The sequence below is a fragment of the Homo sapiens genome, chromosome 12 (assembly GCF_000001405.40).
Source record: "Homo sapiens chromosome 12, GRCh38.p14 Primary Assembly".
NCBI lineage: Eukaryota > Metazoa > Chordata > Mammalia > Primates > Hominidae > Homo > Homo sapiens.
The window spans coordinates 89,978,374-90,002,605 of record NC_000012.12 but is presented as its reverse complement, the minus strand read 5'-3'; the positions used below and the strand labels follow the sequence as shown (position 1 = coordinate 90,002,605).

The 24,232-nt window shown below is 37.9% G+C and overlaps 1 long non-coding RNA gene across 1 annotated transcript in view; it reads right to left on the bottom strand.

The window, feature by feature from the left end:
* The window catches only part of LOC105369890 (uncharacterized), a 192,148-nt gene that overhangs the window by 109,684 nt on the left and 58,232 nt on the right, over positions 1–24,232 (bottom strand). Inside the window, exon 7 of the long non-coding RNA XR_001749246.2 lies at positions 13,317–13,382. This is a non-coding gene — a long non-coding RNA (uncharacterized LOC105369890). The remainder of the gene's footprint in view (positions 1–13,316; positions 13,383–24,232) is intronic.

Sequence of the window (24,232 nt, the reverse complement as noted above, 5' to 3'; positions counted from 1 at the left end):
TGCATGAACTCACCATTTCAGAATATTTAATCTAGCCAAATAATATAACTAAAGCATGCATAATACCTTCATATCTCAAATACAAGCCCGACTTTAGATCTCCTACATTCTAAGAAAACTTTTCTTCACACTTGCAGCTTGTCAGCCTAAATTATTTAATTACTTTGCTCTTAAGTTTCTTTAATTCTCCTGAATTCTCTTCAGAGCAGTCCATACTCACTGCCTTCAGTTCCTGAATATTCTTCAGTATTATAATTTGGTATCCCATACAGCTTTTCTAAAATTTCCCTTGTGATGATTAGCAATGATGCCTTATGGCCAAATCCAACAGACCTTAGCTGCTGCTCAGGCAGTCCCAGGATTTGAAATTGCTATCCCCTAGAATTCCTGTCCTTCTGTGGCTCCACAACACCAGCAACTTTCTGCTTTCCCTTCTCCTTCTCAGTTCCTATTTTTCCCTTCCAACCCCAAATTTTGGGAATTTCCAAGACTCAGTCTTTGTCCTTCTTCTATGGTCTGTCAAAGCTAATTTTATATATCCCAACAGTTTTAACTATAAATCTGTGCAGGTGACTCGCAAATATAAATCTCCAGCTCTAATCACTCTTTGAGACTCTCCACCTGGGAATCTCAACATCTCAACCTCAATGAGTTCAAAGATAATTCCTTATTCCCCTCATGAACCTGCTCTTAACGCTGTGTCCCGAGATTGTTTCAATATCGTCACCTTCTCCAAGGTCTCCCATGCTAGAAGTCTCTGTGATCTTTTCACTTCCTTCAAATTAGTTATTCTACAACAATTCTACCTCCATAACATTTCTAATGTATGTTTCCATCTCTATCTTCTCACTGAAGATGCCCTAAATTATGATATACATAATATGGATTTGAGAGACAACAGATCACCCAATTCTTGTCACTTTCCACTTCAGCTCCTCTGACAAATTAATCTTGGACTAAGCATCAGAAAACATATCTCTGGTCATTTTCATTTTCTTGCTCACTTTTGGTAGCACCCCATATCTTACAGATTAAAAGCTAATTATTAGAATAGCTGATTATTAAACAATTGTTTAGTAAGTGTTAGGTAATATAACAAACACTATACTATGTATCAATTAACTTACTAACTCTTAGATCTGATTTTTACAGTTATTTGTATGATTGTATTGATTAATACATATCTCTTCAATCAGACCATAAACTCCATGAGGTCAAGGACCTGAAATACAGGTACTGATTAAATAAATAATGAAACCTTTTTTTAGTCATCACTACTGAAAGTATTCTTTTCTTTTTTCCCCTCTTAAATTATATAGCAATCTCTTATGTCCTTTAGCATATCGTATATTGTATATTATGCCCATGTTAAATGTAGAGAATGACTGCAAATGAATTTTAGCAAGATGACTTCCATTCCTGCTAAGGAAATATACTAGAATATTTCAGGATTAATAATATTTCTCATCTTCCTGACAGTAAGATTTCCCAGCCTCTATGATCTGTCTTACGTATCTTTCTTAAAGTCCAGTCCCTTTTTTAAAAATCAAAATTGAAATAATAAGTGGGTGCTCTCCTCTTAGAACTTCCAGGGGAATTTGTTCAACCAACTTTTTTTTAATTCAGAACTTACTGAATAGAACGAAATAGGTTATAAGAATACCATGGTGAGTAGTCAGACATGAATCTTGATTTCAATGGATTTGAGGATTAGTAAAGAAAATAAAGCATGTGTTTATGTGGCTGTAATTCCAAGGAAAAATATTTAGGTCGCATAAGAAATATACAGCTAAATTGTGATGGGAGCTCAAGGTAAGAATCTATTGATTTCAGTTGAGAGGATCCCAAAAAGCTTCACAGATAATTTGTATTTCACATGGTTTATGAAAGATGAGTAGGATTTAGGTGTCCAGGGATGAGAATAATATGTATTCCAAGAGAAATAGCATTGAGAAAAATGTAGAAGTCTTAAAAATCATGGAATGTACACAAGAAACTTTAGGTGGTAGAATTTATTTGTAATGATTAATTACATTATGACTATAACATTCTTTTTGAAACATGTAAGTATATAATGCTCTAAAATAATTATTTATGCAGAGTCCATTGGGTTGTTGGGTTGTTATATTGGTAAAATGACATTTTTACTATGATAATACCACTTTCCAAATACTTGTCACTGACCATTGTTTTTGTTTTCAGCAAGTCTACCCTCTGTAACAGAATAAGGCCTAGAGATTTGGACATCTCAAATAGTATTGAGCCACAAGGGGACTGAGTTTGCAGAACTATTTAGTTCTTAGATACAAATTCATAAGTCTGGGCATTGTAGACAACTGAGGTAATTGGAATCCCTCTAAGTCAATTTTTAGTCCAAATCTTGTTTTTAAAATAGTCTGAGAAAACTTGACTTTGGGGCTAAACATCTCTGGTTGATATTTTGTTTTGTTTTCCCTATTGGGTGAGTTGTTATTTTAGTTGATTTTGGTTTAAGTTTCTTCCCCTTGGATGTGTGCTATAAATCAGGCTTATGGCAGTTTGCATTCCAATGATGCCTTATCTTGGCTGTACAACCGTTATCTCATCTAAATCCCACAGCTGTGTCACTTCCTAACGACCACCATCCCTGCAAGACAGCTGTTGCTCTTAATTGGCAGGAATGAAACAGATGAGCATTAAGAAACTAGCCCAGATGATGTGCTACACAAAGAATTTACATTTTTTCCAAACTATTTGAAACTAGAAAAGAAATTTGCATTTTTTTTCTGAACTGTTTGAAACTAGAAATGGCAGGGCAGGAGGCTCCATCATAAATATGTTGGTGGAGTATTTCTTGGTCTCCCACTCAGAATTTTACTACTGAGACTGCATAAAATCAAGCTGCCTCTTGGCTAGTCAAAACTAGAGTCCCACCCGCAAAAACATTGAAAAGCAATTTGAAGTATCTTGCAAAGTTTCCTGATGAGCTGACAAAGAATTCTGTCATAAATCAGTGAAGCTTCTCAAAATCCACTTTTTCCATCTCACCTTCCATAGCACACAGATCACAGCAGCTACCTCAGTATCTAGTGACTTGCTACTCTCAAAAGTGTGGTTCACAGACCAGCAGCATTGGCATTATTTGGGAACTTGTTAGAAACATGCTCTCAGGCCCCACTTCAGGCCTACTGAATCAGAATCTGTATGTTAGCAAGGTCTCCAGGTGCTTTATATGCAATTTATTTATATTTAATTTTAAAACATTGCTTTTGTCTATTAATCTCTTGCTATAGTATACTGTATATAAGAATCACCTGAAGGCACTGTTATAATGAAGATTCCTGGGCCCCACCCTAAGAGTTTCTGAGCCAGTAAGTCAAGTATTTGGATACCACCCTGCTTTGATAACCAGAACCTCCAGTGGACCACACTTTTGATCTTAGTTCATGAAAGCTAAAATCTCATCAATTCACCCTGCTCTGTTTTTTCTCAATCCCTTCCTTCTCTATTTTCTTTCTAAACTTTTTAAATGTAACTCAATCTAGCATATCACAACTTGTATGTGTTTATTTGTTACTAGCTTATAATTGTCTGCTGATTAATCTCCCTATAACTACTCTTAACCCTGGAACTCTTTTAGATAAGTCTCTATTAAACTTAAAACTTATCAAAAGTATACAAGCCAAAGACAAAGTGGTGGCTAATTTCTTAGTGAAGAGTAATATAATCATTTAATTGTTCTGGCCTCCCTTCTGCTATGGCTATTGAATCGGGATAAAGGTTAAAAGGTCAATTCAGGGTTAAGCAAGCAGGAGAGATAGAAGCAAAGAGAAATGGAAATATGTAAGGAGAGTGGTGATGAACACACCCATGAGCCTATGACAATAAAAAATGTAAATATACGCACAGAGGTAATGTAGTTTCAGAAGAAAGACCACTGGACTTGGAGTCATGGAATGCAAATTCAAGTTCTTTGTCCAATCCTGATAATAACCACTATGGCTGTGAGTGTATAATAACCTCTAGTGACTTCAAGTTCTTGTCTATAAAATACAAATAACATGTACACTACCTGTCTCACAAGGCATTTGGTGAAATAAAATTCTAAAGAAAATATTAATTGCATAAACTTTTGCTGAATGAATTAAGCTGGTGCTATGGAGAAGAAGGAATGAATAAGGCATAGTCCTACTTTCAGGGAATTCACTACCTAGTAATGGATACAGATACACAGACAACAAGCTGTATCACTGAATTAATTAATGTTGCATTAAAAGTACATGTAAAATGCTAAGAGAACTCTGAAGAATGAACCAATTATTTAAAAGAAAGAAGGGATGCTCATGACGAATTGGCAAGTTAGCTTTTAGGTATTATGCTAATATTCTCTATACCATCCTCATATAAGGGTTAACTCAGCTGGAATGATGATAATGACAATGTTTATAATTAGTCCAACAAAAATTGTTATGGTGTTAATTTAGTTTAAAAAAAAATGTGTCCTAGTAAGTGGGAAGTGCTACAATTTGACAAGAAAAGAATAAGACAAAATCATAGTGCCTAAGAGGTATTTTCCCATTCCACAGAATCTACACTCAGAGGTGTGTACATTATTAAATATTTAGTTAAGCATTCACTCTAGTTTTATTACAAAGTAAGAAAATACTAAGCCTTTCATTAGAATATAAATTCTCATTACAAGCAAAGGGAGTGTCTATGTTGTTCACCGCTAAATGTTACCTGACAACATCAATGGGGCTTAATAGCATTTGTCGAGTGAATGAATGAAGGACTAAGTAAAGTCTGCATGGAGCTAATAATTGGCCAGTTACACATGCATACATGTTGCTATCTATGTGAGCAGCATATTTGAAGTCAATAAATGGCATTCTGAGTTTAAACTATGGAATGACTTTTACAAATTGGGAACGTTTCCAAATATAATTTGTACCTGAAACAATGACTCCTTATGTAGCTATTATTTAGAACTAAAGGCAGCCAGAACTTTAGACTCTCTTGCTAAAGGTATTCAGTTAGCCACTGCGTATTTAATTGTCTTAATATATACCTCCTTCAAATTTTTTTCCAGAAGTACTGGTAATATATGGACTTAAATAACATTTCAAAGATGGATTTCTGTGACTTTTCAGCTTAACACCTTCTCTAAGTAATAGTTTTTTCTGAATTTTAATATATTGCATTATGTAACTTCCAGAGCCATCTCTTGTCTACAGAACGAAGGTGTTGGACAAGATGATGATAGGGACCTCTTTCTCCAACTCTAACATTCTATGAATCCTGTAGCCTCCTCTACTTTTAAAGAAATTATGTTATTAAAAGGCTTTGGAGAACAAATAGCTTAAGTAGACAGTGCAGTGCAGTAATTATGTAATTGTTTTCTCTTATCTTAATGTTATGTACTATTTCATTTAAAAAAATAAGAAATTACAAAACAGCTTTTCTTTAAAAGAAAAGGATATAATGATTACTTTGGTGGGGGGAAATCATTGCATATAATGGCAAAAATAAAATATAGGGGAGAATACCTATAATTAATACCATAGATGCTCCCCTTTATCTACTATTAAAAAGAACCTTCTCTTTGAATACCAATTTAAAGAATACTTTATTTCATATGACTTCTCACAACTTGACTGTTCTCAAAAGCCCAAGGATACATATGTAAAGAAATCATCATAAAAGGCAGTTATTATTTCTTCTTTTCAAAAGCAATTAACCTAGAAATGTTGTCACAAGAGATTTTCAGAAAAAAGTCAAATAACCACAATAATACCCCCTGACACACACAAATACATACACATACTCAAAATAACTAATGAAAAATAATATTTCTAAAATCTTCTACATGAAGATTTTATATATGGAAAATAATTTAGGGCAAGAGAGTAGGCCCTCGTCCTCAGCAAAGCTCTTAGATCTGAGGTAGCAAGCATAGAATGTCTGCGAAGATGGCCACCAACAACTGCTTCCATTGCCGTCCAGTCCATTTCCCCCTCCCCGTGAATCTGGATTAACCACGTGTGACTTGTCTGAACAACAGAATGGGAGAAAAGTGGCAGTTCTTGCTTTAAGAGGCCTATCAGTGTTCACTTTCACCCTCTTGGATCCTGAGTTACCTCATAAGAAGTCAGTCATTTTACTAGCAAAAAAGACTACATGCAGAGAGGCCCCTGAGGATTTGAGGGTAAGAGGACCACCTAAACCCCAGACTTTTTGTCGATACCAGCTGAGGCCACGTTGGATCTTCCAGCCCCATCAGAGCTGCCCCAGCCAAATCACATAGAATGGAAGGGCTTCCCCATCAAGCCCTGCTCAAATAGCAGAATCACAAGCAAATAACTGAAATGCCCAATTCCTAAAACAACAAATACATTTCAATTCCTTGGTCAGTGAAATATATTAAACCACTATATCCCAATCCTTGGGCTACTGGCTGGGAACACAGGACTGAATAGAATGCCTGCTTTCAAAGGGCTCATCATACCATGGTAGTGACACTCACATAAACAAACCTCTGGCAGAGAGTGTGACAGGAGCTGCATCAGAGGCACACATGGTGCTGTGGGAGGGTGTGGACCCAACTTTCTCTCCTGGAAGTTGATCTGGGGCATGGTCCAGGGAAGAGGAGGTGACACTTCAGCCGTATTTTAAAATCTGAGTAGGAGTTTTCCTAGCCAGGATGTGTGGCTGAGAAAGAGGAACATTCCAGAAAATCAGATTTATCTGTACAAAAAGTGTAAGCTCCTTCTTAAAACCTCAAACTACAGTTATTGAGTCTCTGTGAGTATCACCTGCTAAGAGTTTTCTCTTTTTCCTAAGTTAGATAGGAGAAAGAGCATTTTTTGTAGTAAAAACATGTTTGTTGTTTACCCATTTTGCCTCCAACTTTGTAACCTATACACGGCTGAGAGAAAGGAACTCATGTGACAAGCAGAGAAACTGTTAAAAACAAGAATGTATGTGTTCGCTCTTCTCTCTCTCACATCTTGCTATAGACAAATGCTAAATAAAGAAGATTGTTTTCTTTATCTTTGTTCAAAATCAGTTCTCAAGGTTCTTAATGAGAGGTCTAGAATCATTTTGCTTTTTTTTATGGAATGGAAAAAAGGAGAATTTTTTTACTGGCATTTGTGATGTTAAAGGTCAAACACATAAGACGATTTCTATACAATTTTTATAGCTTACATTCAGTATGAAGTGAGCTGGCAGATGAAGAAAACTAGAATTGGGTAAACTAGTTGATCTCATAGGTGGCTGGAATGTTTATAGACATTTGTTTCCACTTTTGTATTAAATCTCAGTGGATTTGCAACTACAAAGTTCAAGTTTTTGAAGACATCTGCAATCCAGAAGAAGCTACTAAAAAATGTAGGCACCAGAACCCAAACTTGGGAATGAATATTTTTTTTCTCCTCTCTTCATGCCCTACCATGCCTACTTCCTTTTTTCTTTGAGTTGAGACATGAGGATCATGTGAAGTTGAAAAATGCCTCAACCTGCCATATGCTACTTGGATTAGAGCCATGGCTCTTGAAGGGAGCACACAGTTTGAGGACTCACACTGAACGCTTTATATGTATCACTCATATCATCCTCAAAAGCCCTTCTTGGTTAGGTATTAATATCCCCATTTTACAGATAAACAAAGGGTAGGAAAGATGACTATAAATCTTTTCCAGAGATGCTCATAATCACATCTGCCTGATTCCAAATTCCATGCTTTTACACTCATGCCACAATTTCTCCCTAAGGTCTTGTGAGATTTATTTTACCTCTAGAATACAGGTTAAATCTCTGCACTCAAAAAAAGGGAAATATTTTTAACAAAGTTAGAAACATTGGCATAAAAGAATGTGCACCATTTGACCTGTGCTTTAAGATAACTAGAGTATGTGATGAAAATAATCAAAAGCATATAATATAGAAGAGGCAGGGAATCAGGTAGAAAATAGCATGACTTTGGGACCTTGTAGAACTCTGTTTGAATCCTAGTTTGGGCTCTTGCTATTTTGTGACCTAGAGCAATTTATTCAGGTTCTCTGAGCCACAGTTTTCTGAGTTATAAAATAAAAATATTAATACTTGCTACATCCCCCAGGTTATGAAAAGTCCTAAATTGTGTAATTTATGTAAAAGCACCTAGCACAGCACTGCCTCATTTTCAGTACTCAGAAATGGCAGCTTCTTTCTTTTGCTACAGAAACTGGGAAAAGAAAGAAAATTGTTAAATGTCACCTGCAAGCAGAGATCTCTGGTTTGAAAGATGGAAAAGCAATGAAAAGTCAGGAATTCTTTTCTGTAGCCATCAAAATATTTTCCAGCAATAGTTGAAGAAGGATATTTGATCTCAATTTTGCTAAGACCATATTTGGAACATCACGTTGAGGATAATAAGCAAGTTTGTTAATGGGTAAGGAAGGGAGACAGATGGGATTGGTTCAAGCGGGAAGACTGAGAGGAACACCCAGGTCTGGTCAAAACTCTGGGCAGAATAAAGAAAAATGTACAAGTTAAAACAGCACATTTCCCTCGTCAGCCAGAGTGGGGACAGGCTGTGTCATTGATACCACCCAGCAGGACCAAGCAGCTGCCCAGTTCCCAGACAACCCATCAGTCAGTTGATTAGACAACAAATATTCATTAGGTATCTACTATGGGTCAGGTTCTTTGGGGGCACTGAGGAATCCTGATGAGCAAAACCAGGTCAAATACACCTGTGATGATATGTATTTCTGTTCACTGAGTAAGTGAAGATGAGTCATGAGAAGCTGGGTAACCTATGACATTGATCCCTGAAGTATGACATTCCCCCTGCAATTTCTTGCCTACAAGCTAGAAAGGAGAAAATACTTTCTTTAAGAGATAACAGGTTTTGAGCACTTATCGTGTGACAGGCATTATACTCAGTGCTTTACATATATTCTCCTATTTAACTCCCCCAAGTCTGTCAGGTAGTTGCTATTACTTCCCATTTTATAGATGCATAAACCAAGGCTTAGAGATATGCAGTGACTTGCCAAAGCCTCAAGATATTGAAGTCCTGGAACTGAGACTGATCTCAGAAATATACAACTCCAGAGTCTGAACTCATGGTGGAGGACTTAAGACTGGTTTTAACACTCTAATGAGATTTTTCTATTTTAATTGCATCTGTTCCCCATAAAGGATTCTTTATCTTTTTACTCAAAAATCAAGAATTAGCTACACTTCATGTTGGCCAATGACCATATGGTATAACAGAATCTGTGCTCTTTCTCTCAAGTTAATTTATGAAAGTCTTTTGGCAAGGTCACCATGCTTTTTGAATGTACACACTGCTCCTTTGCTACTCTGTATAAAGGCATTTGTAAATTATTCTAGTTATCTTTAGAATACTTAAAATTACTCTCTGGCATTTATATAATCAGCAAGAGATAATCAGATGATCTCTCTTTTTTTTTAACAATGAGCCACTTCCTGTTCATTATACTTATGTTTATTTATGGCATAAAACCCATTTTCTCTGTAGAAGGTCACCTGTGGGTTGATGTGGAGGATTTATTTCCTCCTATTTAAACAATTTTACCAGTTTTTGGCATTTGTATGACTGTTGATTAATTATGGCCCTGTCTCAATCATTATAGAAAAAATAATAGCCTATGCTATGGTTCCTTTTATGCGCCACTGGGTTATTCATTAGCTGTAAAAATGCAAATTTTTTTAAATTTTTGCATATTTAGAGGCTTCTAACAGATAATCCACACCTATGCTATGTGCAGCCACCCATCTCAGAGGAAGGCCAAATGTTTAAAGTCAGAAGCCACCTGACCCAAGAGGCCCAAAGAACTAACAGTCTTGAGTCACATGTAAAATTTGTGGTTCCCCTTCTTTGGGAATCAGAGCCTTCCTAAATACCAGTACAAACGCCCCCAGGCTGCCTCCTCACCTTCATGTACTAAACTTTTTGACTATTCCACAGGAGAAGCAATTACTTCCTTTATTAAACTAAACTAAGAGGCCATGCCTTTCATTCTACTTGCACCTACTATAAGAAGTTGAAAAAACTGCAGACACCTTCTATCCCAATGTGAAAGAGCTTATTGCCCATTGCAGATGATTTTGCTGAGTTTTGATGCCCTGTATCTGTTTCTTTTCTGTTTAATAATAGCATCCTGAGTTTTTTTTTTTTTTTTCAAATATAAGCTGCTTCCTCATTCAGTCAATGTGCTTCAAGAGGAAACGGATCTCTCTCTGCTTTGGCAATGGACTTTGGATGGCTTCAGCTAAACAAGAGAGCCTACTCCAATGTCCATAGTGATTGAGTTAGACATGGGACTGGTACCCAATGCAGAGCAATAATAAGTAAGGAGATAATTAGATGGAGACCACTAAAAAGAAGATCCCTTGCTCTTCCATTGACATACTCTTTAAGTGTGAACACTTAGAGCCTCCAGAAGAATTGACAGCCATCCTGCATTGATAGAACCCAGCTATCTATTCAATATATTTTCCTGAGTCACGCAACCTTTGTTACCTTAGCAGTTTGAGTTATGTGTTCTGTTATTTGCAACGAGAAGATTCCCAACAATACATCTACCACTGCGACCACAATTACACAGTAATCATGAAACCATGCTGCATTACGGAACTTCTTTGTGCGCTTTCTTCATCTAGTACCTCCTCCTATAGTCATAACTTTTTGTTTACTCTTTCCTGAGTTCCATAAGCAAATATAATGAATTACACCAAGAAGCTTATTAGACAAGTTTAGAATTTTCTGTATGCTAAAAACATCATCATTTTTATTATCTTCATGTTGTTGGTTATCGGATAATTATATTCATATTTCAAGGCTTTCTATAAACCTGCCAGTATTAAGTAGAGATCTTATCAGCTTCTAGGCAGAAATAGAGAAAAAGACTGCCTGTGTTGGCACCTATAGCTTCCTGATTTTTGTTCTTCCTCTCTTGCTCTGCATCCTTTTTGTCTACTCTCAGAAACATCAGCTTTGCATACACTTCTGCCAATGAGACTATCCTAATCTGAAATTATAGGGTCCTCTCTTTTTTATGTTTTTTCTTATTTTCATAGCCAGGACCTAGAGGTGACTGCTAAGGACCAGCTGTAGTGTCTACTGCACACTTGCTTCCCACATTGCTTTGAGGCAGCACCGCAACTTTTTTATTATATCTAACTCTAGGAAATTTCGCAGCCTTTGCTCTCAGGAATAATTTCTACACTGCCAACCACTTTATGTCCTTTTTCTCGATTAAAAAAAGTTCTTTGTCCCCCAGTTGAGTAAACTTTCACCTTCTTCATTTTTCAATCACCCTTTTCAGTGACATTTTATCACCTTTCACTATGTGATCATTGGATGCATCCATCCAGTACCATGGCTCTAAGCTTTTTTACCATGACTTTTTTCAGGGATTTCAAGTTTAAGTTAACTCTTGGTGCTATTTCACACTGATGCTTTTGTAGAACTCCAGGACCTCAGACTCTTGGGAGAGATAATAAGGATTGTGGTCAGAGCACAGTAAAGATTGAGTTTGATGCCAGGAAAATAAATACACACATACTGCCATCTTCATATAACTCAACTACATGCTTTGATGGGAGTGGCCTTCACAATTACTACATAGTTGACCTCTGACAGTTTATTTTTTCCCCTTAAAAATAGGGTGGGGAGAGGCAGGGATAATAAACAATCATGTTTGCTCTTGTGACACTCTCAGGTTCCCAGCCATGTGTAATTTAACAAATAATCATAGAAATGTCTTCCTGCATTACAGAGACATGGCATCCGCAGGTGGGGGTTGGGAGGAAGAACACAGAGAAATCGGCACTCAACACAAATTTAGTACAAGATAGGTAAAATGACATATACTCCAGAATCGCTTACTTAACAAAGAAAAGCTTTTGAGCGTCAGCAGATGGCCTATGTATTTGTCTTTTTTAGGGATATTCTCAAATGCTATGTATCACATTATAGTAAGAAACATAGCTGTCTAGATGGCAGGATACCTTCTAGGGACAGAATTCTCTCCCAGCTGACATACTTAATAGGCAACCAAATTAAAATAATTCCACTCACACTTCGTAGTTTGGGAAGGCTTTCACTGATAACCAATCTCTCCCAGAAATAGCTCAAGACCCTCTGTCATGTTTCCAGAGTACTCTTTATATTTATTTTATGTCACTCATTTGTTCAATGTTTGTACCCGCCGTGAGCATGTAAGCCCAGCGAATACAGTCATCACTACATTTCTTAGCCAGTCTTCCATGCCCAGTACTGCATTCACAATGCCTAACCATAGTACCTAGCTCACAGAAGATGCCTAACCTACATCTGAAAGACCAAGAGGTGGAAGGAAGGAAGAAAAGGAGGAATGAGGGGGAAGGATTGGTTTATGGCTTGGTGTATTAGCTATTTGCTGCTGTATGCCAAATTACCCCAAAATTTAGCCACTTAAAACAGCACACATCTATATAGCTTCTATGACTTACAATTCTAGGTGTGGTTTAACTAGGTTTTCCAGCTCAAAAGAGTCTCTCACAAGACTACAAACTATCGGTCAGGGCCATGTCATCTCAAGATTCAACTGGGGCAGGATACACGTCCAAGCCCACTCAGTAGTTGTTGGCAAGATCCAATTCCTTGAAGCTTGTTTAACTACGAGCCTCAGTGACTGCTTGGCTGTTGACCAAAGGCTGCTCACCATCACATCCTGGCCACATGGACAACTCCACAGTGCAACTCACAACATAGGAGCTGGCTTCATCAGAGTGAGATAGTCAGAGAGTACAAGATAGACAGAAGTCACAGTCTTTCATAACCTAATCTCAGAAGTGATCATCCCATCACTTTTGCTATATTCTATTTGTTAAAAGCCAGCCTTTTAACAAATTACAAATTGTTATTAGGTCCAGTCTACACTCGAGGGGAGGAGATTACACAGAGCATGAATGCCAAGACATGGGAATAATTTGGAGGCCATCTAAGAAAGGCAGCTTAGCACACATAAGCATGCAATCAAAACAAGAGGAGTTGGTTAAAAGAGTCACCTGTTAATAGAATTGGGCTAAGCTAGACTATTGTATCTTTCTCCACAATAGGGAAAACTACTTTCAATATGGCTATAATAATAAATCCATTTGGAAAATGTATTTTAAAGAAATTATTATGTATTCAAATGCTACCTGACATATCAGTATCCTTTGGAAGTGATTTTAACAAATCTGACTTATATTTTTAGGTGAGCGTTTTCTATTTCATCCAAAAAAACTGAAATAATCAGACTTTGCAACTGAAGGAAATCTGGAAAGAAAATACCTACTTCAGTAGGAAGCAAGTGTGCTGCATTCTCCATATTTCTCCAGTCCCACAGGACATGCTGTGTGGCCTGTAAGAGAAAAACATGTAAACGTAGGCAAAAGTCCTGAATAAATCAAGGAAAGTATTTGTGGGTGGCTCAAAATGGGTGAGTTTCTTTCCATGAAGGGCTAGGTGTGCCACAGTCTTGACCAACAAGTACATGCTAATGGATCCATCTATAGCTCTTAAAAGTCTAATTCCTGCATTCTAAATAGGCAACCAGGATATTATCATATACACTCTAGTCTTAAAACCTTTTAACATCGTTGCTCCTTTTGATTTTCTCTTGAATCTGTTATATATTTGGATTGGGCCAAAACAAGCAGTTCCATGTAAGTCTGTAAAGCTTTCTGATGGTGCACCTCTTTAATTATTAAGCTACTTCAGAGGTCATAAGCCAGAGAGAAAAGTATTAGAGCTGATTACTGTGTCCCTGTGGCCCTGAAAATCCTTTGGCTGCTGTAGAGGTGCTTGCAGCATTCGGAAAGCTTTAACATAATCCAACCATCCTCCCAAATTCCGAGTTGCTTTTATTCAGGCACATTCAGATGTCAGTCTATAATCCTGTGTCATTGCAAAGAGAAAAGGCATGATCTGCTATCTGCTTTTTAAAGCCCAAACTAAACCTCTAACCTGGTAATTCATGTAGAGCATAAGGATCATGAGCTGCCAGAAAGCAAAATCCAACACGCCAAGTAATCTCTCACGATTTTCACAAACACATTCTGTTTACAAAGGCTAAATTATATCCAAATAGTTGATGCCACACTATCCATGAGACTGCAACATGGTATGTACTACAGTAAAGAAAACATTATTATTTTACTAACAGCTTTGATTTTTAAAGGGCTTGTCTTATCCATGATTACTGCTGCTATGCAACAGTATGAGTTATAAGCTGAACATCCTTTTATATATACTCTGCACTCAGAGGAGCAATTTCATGGATAAATCACAAGGCGACAGCCAAACTATTAACTTAATGACTCAGGGTGAAGTTCCTACAGGGTGAAAACATCTGTAAACAGCTGGGCAACAGCAGTGCCATCAGCCTTTGAGATGAGAAGATACCATTTTCAGGAAGTGGTTCGAGCAGAATCTATTCTATGGAAAACAGTCTTTCAGGTACCAAGGTGCTCCATATTCAAACCTAAATGCTGGAAATCTATTTCCAATGAAGCAGGCACTTATTGTCCTGTTTTGTTTTTCCCTCTCATACCAAAGACCCGGTGTGTATTAAAGGTAAATTTTCAAAAACATAAAGGACTCCTTGATTACATTAAGTAATGAACATTTAAATTTTGAGTCCCAAAATAATATTTTAGAAGGGGCCTTGTCCACCACTCTCTAACTTCATACTTTCCCCTATTTCATAATTTCTCCTATGCACCCTCTCCAAATTCTTCTTGTCTGGGATTTAAAAAAATGAACATCCATATGTTCACAAACCAAGTCATGAAAACTCATGTAGTATACCATGGCTGAAGTAATCTATAGCTATTTAGGAATTATCACCAAGTAAAATCTTAGGTGTAGAAAGTTGGATACGATTTATTCACAATTTCTAAGTCTCAGTTTGTTCATCTATAAATGGGAACAGTAACACCCATCTTTTAGAGCTGTTGAGAAAAGTTAAAAACAACTCTGAGGCCAGGCGCGGTGGCTCATGCCTGTAATCTCAGCATTTTGGGAGCCTGAGGTGGGCGGATCACCTGAGTTCAGGAGTTCGAGACCAGCCTGCCCAACATGGTGAAACCCCATCTCTACTAAAAATACAAAAGTTATCCGGGCATGGTGCTGGATGCCTGTAACACCAGCTACTCAGGAGGCTGAGGCAAGAGAATCACTTGAACCTGAGAGCCGGAGGTTGCAGTGAGCCGAGATTGTGCCACTACACTCCAGCCCGGGCAGCAGAGTGAGACTCCCTCTCAAAACAAACAAACAAACAAACAAACATAAAGAAACTCTGTACAGCACATGACACTCAATTTATCTCCTTCGTCTCTCCATACCCACACTACAAAACTGAATGGCATGTTAGCGGACTCACAGGCACTGTCATCAGGCATTGCTGAATAGAATCTTTGTGCTGCCACTTACTAGCTTAGCAAACTTGAACAATTTACTTAACCTCTCTGGGCTTTGATATTTTATCTATAATGGTGGATAATTATTTCTACCCAATTAGGTTTAGGGGAAAATCAGAGTTCAAGCAAGTAAGGAGCTTACCCTCTAACTGCCATGTAGGAGATGTTCAATGAAAGCAGCCCCTCTTTATTGCTGGTAAGATGATTCCCTTTGCCACGTGGCTGGGATAGAAATTTGGAAGTCATAGAGGCAGCATTTCAGCTGTTCCCCAACATTATTTCATTCTTTTGTGTTCACATGACACTCAGCAATCCAGGGAAACTAACAGAATGAGCATGCCTGAACTTATACCTCAGCGTGGGACCAAGAGATGTATGAAACCTCAAAATCTGAGAGCATTGTACCTGAGATGATAAAGTGCAGATCGTAAAGGCTTTCCAGACAGCAGTGATGCATGCTCATCACCATTAAAGGTATATGTTTCCATGCTTCTATTTGTTTTAGCATCCCACAAATAATTACTGACAACTTATTATCTTATTATGTACTCAACAATACACTCTAGAATTTTTTGTTTTGTTTTGTTTGAAGAGACAGGGTCTTGTTGTGTCACTTAGGCTGGAGGGCAGTGGTGTGATCATAGCTCACTGCAGCCTCGAAGTCCTGAGCTCAAAGGATCCTCCCACCTCAGCCTCCCAAGTAGCTAGGATTACAGGCAGCATCACTGCTATGCATTCTTCTCAAGAAAAGGTGACACTGGCATCTGTATCAAAGCAGATCCCTCTCTCCTATGACTGTAGTAAGCAATCATGGCTGTGGCAAGGTAATAATAAAATAATAATGGTGCATCCTGGTTGGAATTATTTTGAAACAATTACTTTTAGCTACAAATGCCCAAACATTAGCTCCATGCCTCAGCCTCTGAGTGCCTCAATGCTCAATAGATAAGACATTCTTAATATGTCTAAATAGACATAGATATGACATTCTTACATCATTCTTATGTTACGACAGAATGGCATGTCATTCTCATGTCATGCTTATGTCATGACATAGATATGACATGTCTAAATATATAATAGATATGACATTCTTAACATGTCTAAAAAGCTTAGAGAACACCTGGAGTCTGTCTGCATTGCCAAGGGAGTAAGACAAGCTCAAATGGTCAGTTTAGAATAGTCTATCTACTTAGCAACAATGGGAAAAGAATAGAGAATCTTGGGCTAGTGTAATATAATTCAGGTCCCTGAGTTACTATTCAAAGTCCGTACATTTTACAAATGGATATCAAAATGATGCTCTTTAGAATTCCTAAGTGTTCATGAAGAGGGTTCTGAGGCCTGCTCAAGGCTCCCAAATGTGTGCTAGCATATCTTACAGCTTGGTTTCCTCATGTGAGGGACGGGAATAATAAGCTTGTTATAATAATCAAAATGAATGCTCTTTAAAATTAATAAGGTCCAATAAAACCACACAATAGTATTGCTACTGTAATCATTCATTGACACAGAAAGAAAGCTGCTAGAACCAGTTGTATGACTCAAATAAGCACAGAGCCTTGAATGCCAGACTTAAGGAGTTAGTTAGCTCATGTTCAGTCAGTAATTGGTAGTTTTTTGTTTTGTTTGTTTTTAGCAGAGTATCGTATTCTTTGGGCTGGGTTTTTATAAAAATTAGCAATTATTGGCAGAAACATAGGAATGGTGGGAAAGAGGTATGGAGGCTGAGAGATCAGGAATGAGGACTTAAAAAAATATATTTTTTTAATGTCCCTGGAGAAGCCAACCCCTAAGGTAGCTTGTGACAGTGACACCTGGATATATGTCAAATTCTCATGCAACTTACTGAGCCACTTCATTAGTATCCCAACATGCCATACCCCTTATTAATCAGAAACGAACTTCAGCCTCCGTGTCAGTGGCCAAATGGTCAACAGAAGGGGCAGAGTAACTGTGGCCAGGGTGGGCAGCTACCCGGAGGTGCAGCACAACTGCTGAGAAGCAACAGCCATGCCGTCCAACCCGGTTTGCAGCAAGCAGAAAAGGAACAGCGTCTTTGGAGCAAATGAAGCTTGCAGACTGTGAGGAGAACAGGCAGCGACACAAGCAGGAGGCACAACCAGGGACAGCAGAGAGTCACTTGAGGGCTCGGTGTCCAGCAGGGAGGACGCAGAGCGCAGAGTGTGTTTCAGTCTTCTCAGTGACACTTATCCACATGGATGGGCACACCATCTGGGGCAGCATTTTTTTTTTTTTTTTTTTTTTTTTGGTGGTGGTGTTTTGTTCTTTTTGCTTTTTTAAATGTAAGAAGCAAAGATCCATATATGGTATAGATGTAGATATAGATATAGAAACACACATACATATCACAAATTTTACCATTCAAAAACACAGATTTCATGCCTCCACTGCACCCTGAAAAGTTTTCTCAAATTTCTAGCTGATTTCTTTCCCAAAGAATCATTTGCTTTCATAACTTGGTGGAATATTTTCAGATCACAATGTATCCTTTTGTTTTAAGGACCACTTCATTACTTACATCAGTGAGGTGGCATGTTTTCACTTTCTGTGCTTGAAAGAAGCTGAATTTTTAATAAAGAAAAAAATAGAAAAGTAGGACACCTTTAAAATACAGAATTCCTTTCCTGCTTGGTTTCTAACATTTCCTCACCCCACCTGAGGAACTGTCCCTTGCAAAGGAATAGATTTTAGTTTCTCTTAGGTGGGTGGGGGGAAGGCAGGAGACTTAGCAACGACCAGGTTTGTAAAAACCAAATAAATATGTGCTCCCATTGAATCAGAAAAATCAAAATGGTATTTTTTACACTCTTCTGCTCACTTATGCTGAAATACTGTACCAGCCTTATGCCAAACTTTGGCAGATAGACATGTGACATTTCCTTTGCCACATAGACAGCAGTGACTCTGCCGAATTATCTAAGGTTATTAGTAGTATCAGAACATTCAACACTTCATTTCCCTGGCCTTTATTATGCAGTGGTAACTTTGAATACTCATAAAATATATATGTTACTGTGTATGTTTTCTCAGTCTATAGATTTGCTTTATCAATAGAAAGATACCAGAAAAAAATCTCCAATGCCTCATTTCTTTAGAGAAATGCCTCTCTTTAAAAATCAAATAATTTAATAAATGAAGGCAAACCTTGGTAGAATAATCTAATTATACTGTCTTAATCCATTTGGGTGCTATAAAAAATACCATAAGTTGGGTGGCTTATAAACAACAGAAATTCATTTATCACAGTTCTGGAGACTGGGAAGCCCCAGATCAAGGTGATGGCAAGTTTGGTGTCTGGTGAAGGCCCATATCCTCATAGACTGCAACTTCTCCTTTTGTCTTCACATGATGAAAGAGATGAAGTAGCTCTCTGGGGTCTGCCCTATAAGAACATTAACCTTAATCTTGAAGGCTCTGCTTTATGATCTAATCACCCCCAAAGGCCCTACCTTCTAATACCACCATTTTAGGGGTTTAGGTTTCAATATACGAATTTCAGGAAAAACACAGCCACTCAGATCATAGAACATATATAATCCAAGTGTCTTCCTTTTCAGACCTAAGTGATCTTAGGAACATGGTTAATGCCTTTATGTTTGACTGACCTTGATAATTACTGATTTATCTTGACTATTTGATCAAGATCCTGGTTTTGCCTCACAGCACATGCTCACCAATTTACCAGGAAACTGTCTTAGTCAGTGGTACCAAAACCTGCTTTTCAGTCTTCTAACCCTTTGTCATAAAGAGATAGAAGCCAAAAACCTAAATTCTCATTATCCTTTTTTCAAAAATATTTTGAAGATGCTCCATTTCAGTCTTGGGGTAACTCTGTTATCATCATCACTCTTATCATGAACAATGATGATAGCTGTGTACCAGCTACCACTCTGAAGAAGCAAACGTATTTGTTGACAGCTTCGTTTTTCTTGGGATATTCATCCATTAATTTATTTAACCAATAAGCATTTATTGAATCACTGTTGTGTACCAGGCATTGTTCTAAATGTTAGGGGATATAGAGACTAATAAGTTACCATACTTCCCTTGAGTTGCTTATAGTTTAGGAAGAAAGATATCAAGGAACTCTATGAAAATGTATGCCATAAATCAATAATATAAAATATGTAAATCCAAAGTGCTCCATTTAAAAGGAAGGGATATGTAGCTGGCTATAACTGCTGAGAAGCCTTGACAGCCTCATATTCCAGGTGGGACTTAAAGGATGCATAAGGCAGCAGAACATTCATTCTTTCATTCCACAAATTTTTATTCAGTGTCTACTACATTCCAGGAGCTTTTCTAAACACCAAGGATTCTGCAGTGAAAAAATAAAAAATTCCTGCTCTTAGGGGGCTTTTATCTTACCAGGAGGGGACTAATTTAAAAAAATAACTAAATAGGTCAAATAAATGGTTTTTCAGATGATTATAAATATTATGTTTATGAAGCTTTTTAAAAATGAAGAGAAGGGATCAAGAGTGTCACACAGAGGTTGAGCATGGTGGCTCACGCCTAGAATCCCAGCAAATTTTGGAGGCTGAGGCAGGTGCTTGAGGTCAGGAGTATGAGACCAGTCTGGGCAACACAGTGAGACCCCCATCTCTACAAAAATAATTTAAAAATCAGTCAGGCATGGTGGTACACCTGTAGTCCCAGCTACTTGAGAGGCTAAGGCAGCAAGATCATTGGAACTCATGCGTTCAAGGCTACAGTGAGCTGTGATCAGACCACTGCACTCCAACCTGAGTGACAAAGCAAGACCCTGTCTCAAAAAAAAAAAAAAAAAAAAAAAAAGAGTGTCAGGCAGGGGTGAGAGGGGTTGTAATTTTAAATATGGTGGCCAAAGAAGCCTCCTCTGAAATAATGACATCTGAGCAGAATCCCAAAGGAAGTAAAGGAACAATTCATGCAGATATCAAGGAAAAGAGCCTTCAAGGCAGAAAACATTATGTGCAAAATCCCTGAGGTTGGGACATGGCTCTTATTCTTGAGAAACAGCAAGGAAGCCAGCATGGCTAAGGCAGTGTGAAACAAGATCTTGAGGCTTATGCTGAGAGTTGAGTAGGACCTTGGAGTTTACTCTAAGGACTCAGACTTTCACTCTGGATTATTTAGGAAGCCAGCAGAAGCTTGGAGTAGAGTGACTCCATCTGCTTTCCATACTGAAGGTACTGAGAATAGACTACCAAGGAGCAAGGGTGGAAGTGAGGGGCCCAATCAGGAGGCTACTGAAATAATTCAGGCTGGAGATGAATTTTGATTCAGAAAGGCAGCAGTGAAGGCAGTGAGAATTGGCCAGCTTCTAGGTATGTTTTGAAGGTAGAACCTACAGGAATTATTGATAGAGAAGATGAGGGCTATGAGAAGAAGAGATTCAAGTATGTCTCCAAGGGTTTTAGCCAGAGCTAGAAAAATGGAGTTGCCTCTTTAAGAGCCCACTCAATTATGAGAGTGAGAGAAAATTTTAAGCATCTCTATGTGTTAGGGTCTGCACAGAGGAGAGAGAGTAACTGAACAACACTATTTATCATGACCACTTGCACCACAAAGAGGCTTTTCTCTAAAATTTAGTAAGAACAAAACTCCATCCTCAGCAGAGAAAGAAACAAAATGAAAGATCAACGTTTCTGATCAGGGGCTCACTGATTCAGGGCCAAGGGAGAGAAAATGCTAAGTGATGTCAGGAATTAGATGCAATCTTCCCTCCCTAAATTTCCAGATGATTCCAAACTAAAAGGTAAGAACTAAATCCTGAGGTTAGACTACAATCCTATAACAATGAATTGGAGAAGTAGTCATAGCTCAAATAAAGCTAGGAGGGAACATAATGTATAAACAGAAAAATAACAATGTAGGTAAAGTTAATTATATTAGGAATGCCTAAAATGGAAGAGTGGGAGAAAAAGTTTCAAAGTAGATTATAATAGTAAGAGGTAAATGCAAAAGAATATTGTGCATGAGAAGGAAAACACCCTGAACTAGAAAGTGAAAAGTCTGGGTTTTTTTCCTAACATTAACAATGGGGCAAATTAGTGAACTTGTAACTTCCAAACAAGGATATTTTTGCCCCCAGGGAATGTACTAATATGCTAAAGATTAAAGGTTTAATATTGCATTTAAAATGTCATTTAAATTCTGCTGAGGATAAAAGGTTTTCTTTAAAAAAAAAAAAAAGACAAGTATGACTATATTATGGAATAGAAAAATAATTCTTAGATTTTTTCCCATTCATTTTTTTTTTTATTGAGTACTTACTATGCACCAGCAATTATTATAGGCAATGGGCATATAACACTGAACAAGATAGTCACACTCTGATTCTACGGAGCTTATTATTTTACAGTGAAGACAGACATTGGACAAGTAATTGTGGGACAAAGCATGAACTTCCAACAAATCTCTTAGTTGTGGCAGGCCCCAGACCATCATGGGTGGAGAGTACATATTTATTCTTTTCTAACACCAGGAGTGTTTTGAGGAAATGTCTGATGAAAACTCACTTAAGCTATGAATCGCAGCTTGGAATGGGAAAAGTATTTAGAACTGTGTTCATTGGGTTTGCTATAAAGCAGCTCCCAAGAGTGGATTAAATGTGCAAGCATTTTATTAGGGGAAATGCCTACAAGAGAAAATAGAGAGGAAGTTGGAGGAGGCTGGAAGAGTCATTGGATCATGATGCAATCTGACCCCAGTGAAAGAGCCAGACTGTGTGGAAAGTTGAGTGGAACCATCCTAGACTGTCATGAGGCCTAGGGAAGATTTGCCCCTAAGCCAAAGGCGAACTGCTCATTATTCCTGCTGCCCTCAGTTCCTGGCTGGAAGCTGCCTGTGGGAGGCATGGCCTCTGTGAAGAGTGGAGACAGCTGTGTTAAAAGTGGGGAGCACAGCAGCTGCGTCTTTGGCCAATGCTGCTGGGGCTTTTTGGTCAATTATACTACTTACAGTAGGAGGTCTTTGGGGTGCATTGTCATGGCTGCTGAAACAATTTTTTTTTTCTTAATGAGCATAGTCTTTGGAATCAGAAATAACCTTAATTGATTCCAGTTTCAGCCACTTAATAATTTTGTGACATTGGGCAAATTAGTTACAAGTTGATTATAAATGTTAAATGAAATAATAGCTGTAACATGCACCATGCAGTGCCTAGAACATAAAAGATGATCCATAGAGGTTAGGGTTGCTTTCTTTTCCCTTTAGCTATAAAATACTCTCATTTGTTCAACATGCATTTTTGAGGAACTACTATATGCGAAGTAAGGAAACTGATTATGCAAAGGGCCCAACATATAGTCTCTGCCCTCAAAGTTGAATTTATTTAAAAAATGTAGAAGCATAAGGCACTACTAAATACAAAAATGCAACGAGAAGAAAGGATCTTCAAACAGGAGAAAGGAACATTTTCATTTTACATGAATTATTACTGAATTTGACAGCTTAAAAATTCTTAAAGACAATTCCACCCTCTCAAATGTGATTTTCTGATACTTGGATGAACATGTAGGTGTACAATGTGGGTTTATAAATGCAACTCTGGCAAGACCCTTAATGAAGTACTGATGATGCATCTTCATTTACCCAGCCCCTTGCCATATGGATATCTGGCTTTTCCAGGGCATTATGTTGTGCCTGCCAGCCCTCCTATCTGAATTATCTGCATGTTACGCTGGAGAAGGTGCTGTATGTCAGTTTGCCCCTCAGAATGCTTCCCAAAAGCCCTTTCAAGACCCTTTTATTGTCAGGGCAGAGAACTTGCCTCATCGCTCCAGGCATGTGAATTTGTACTTAGCACATCCAGACGGTACCCAATCAAAATCAATTTAGATATGACTTGATTATACTTCAGTGATGTAAGAACTTTCTTTCCAAGAATATAGATAACTCGGTGAATATTCTAGGAAAATATTTGTAATAATAATCAATCAAATAAGGCTCAGTTGGAGCTGAGAGAACCTGCTTCAATTTTTAAGAGGGTTATAGACTTGCTATACGACACCAGGAGAGTCATTTGCCCTGTCTTGGCCCGTGAAGTCTGTGTGTCCTAGACAGTGGGGGAAGCAGGGGTGGAGAAAGACAGCCGTCATTTACTGAACACCTCAAATGTGCCAAGTACTAAGATAGAAGTTTTGCAGTCATCACCTCAATTAATCAACAAACAACCCTTTGAGGGAGAATCATTCATTCCTCTATGCATTCATTCACTAAATCCTCATTAAGAGCTTACTCTATGCTAGTCACTGTATTAGGTGCAGAGTAGAAGACAGTGAAGTGAATAAAGTTGCTCGCCTCTGTGTATTATGATCACGGTTTCAGATGGAAGATGTTTGAAACAGAGAGATAAGCTACACTGGTGGTTAGTGGGCTGAGACTCCTAATAAAGTCCTTCTGACTCCAAAAACCAGGACTTTTTTCTCCATAGCCAACAGTGTTTCCCAAATATTTTGTCATAATAATGAAAGTCTCCCTTACCCACAAACCCTTTCTGAACATTTATTTCCTATTCACCCCTATGAAATAAATGCTATATTTTGTAACAGAGGTTTCAGCTTTGGAGGATCACAAACCATTTTGGCATCTAAGGTATTTTCACGCTGCTCCCAAAATTCATTTTTTCACCTGGTTCAATGTGTTATTCCCCTGTTGAGATGCAAGCTCTATACGATTTCCTTTATATCTTTAGAGACACTATTTTTCAGGCTCTGTGAGCATTGCAGTAAAATTTTTTTAAAAATTGTGTGAGATATTACCCCTACCTTCAATCACATCA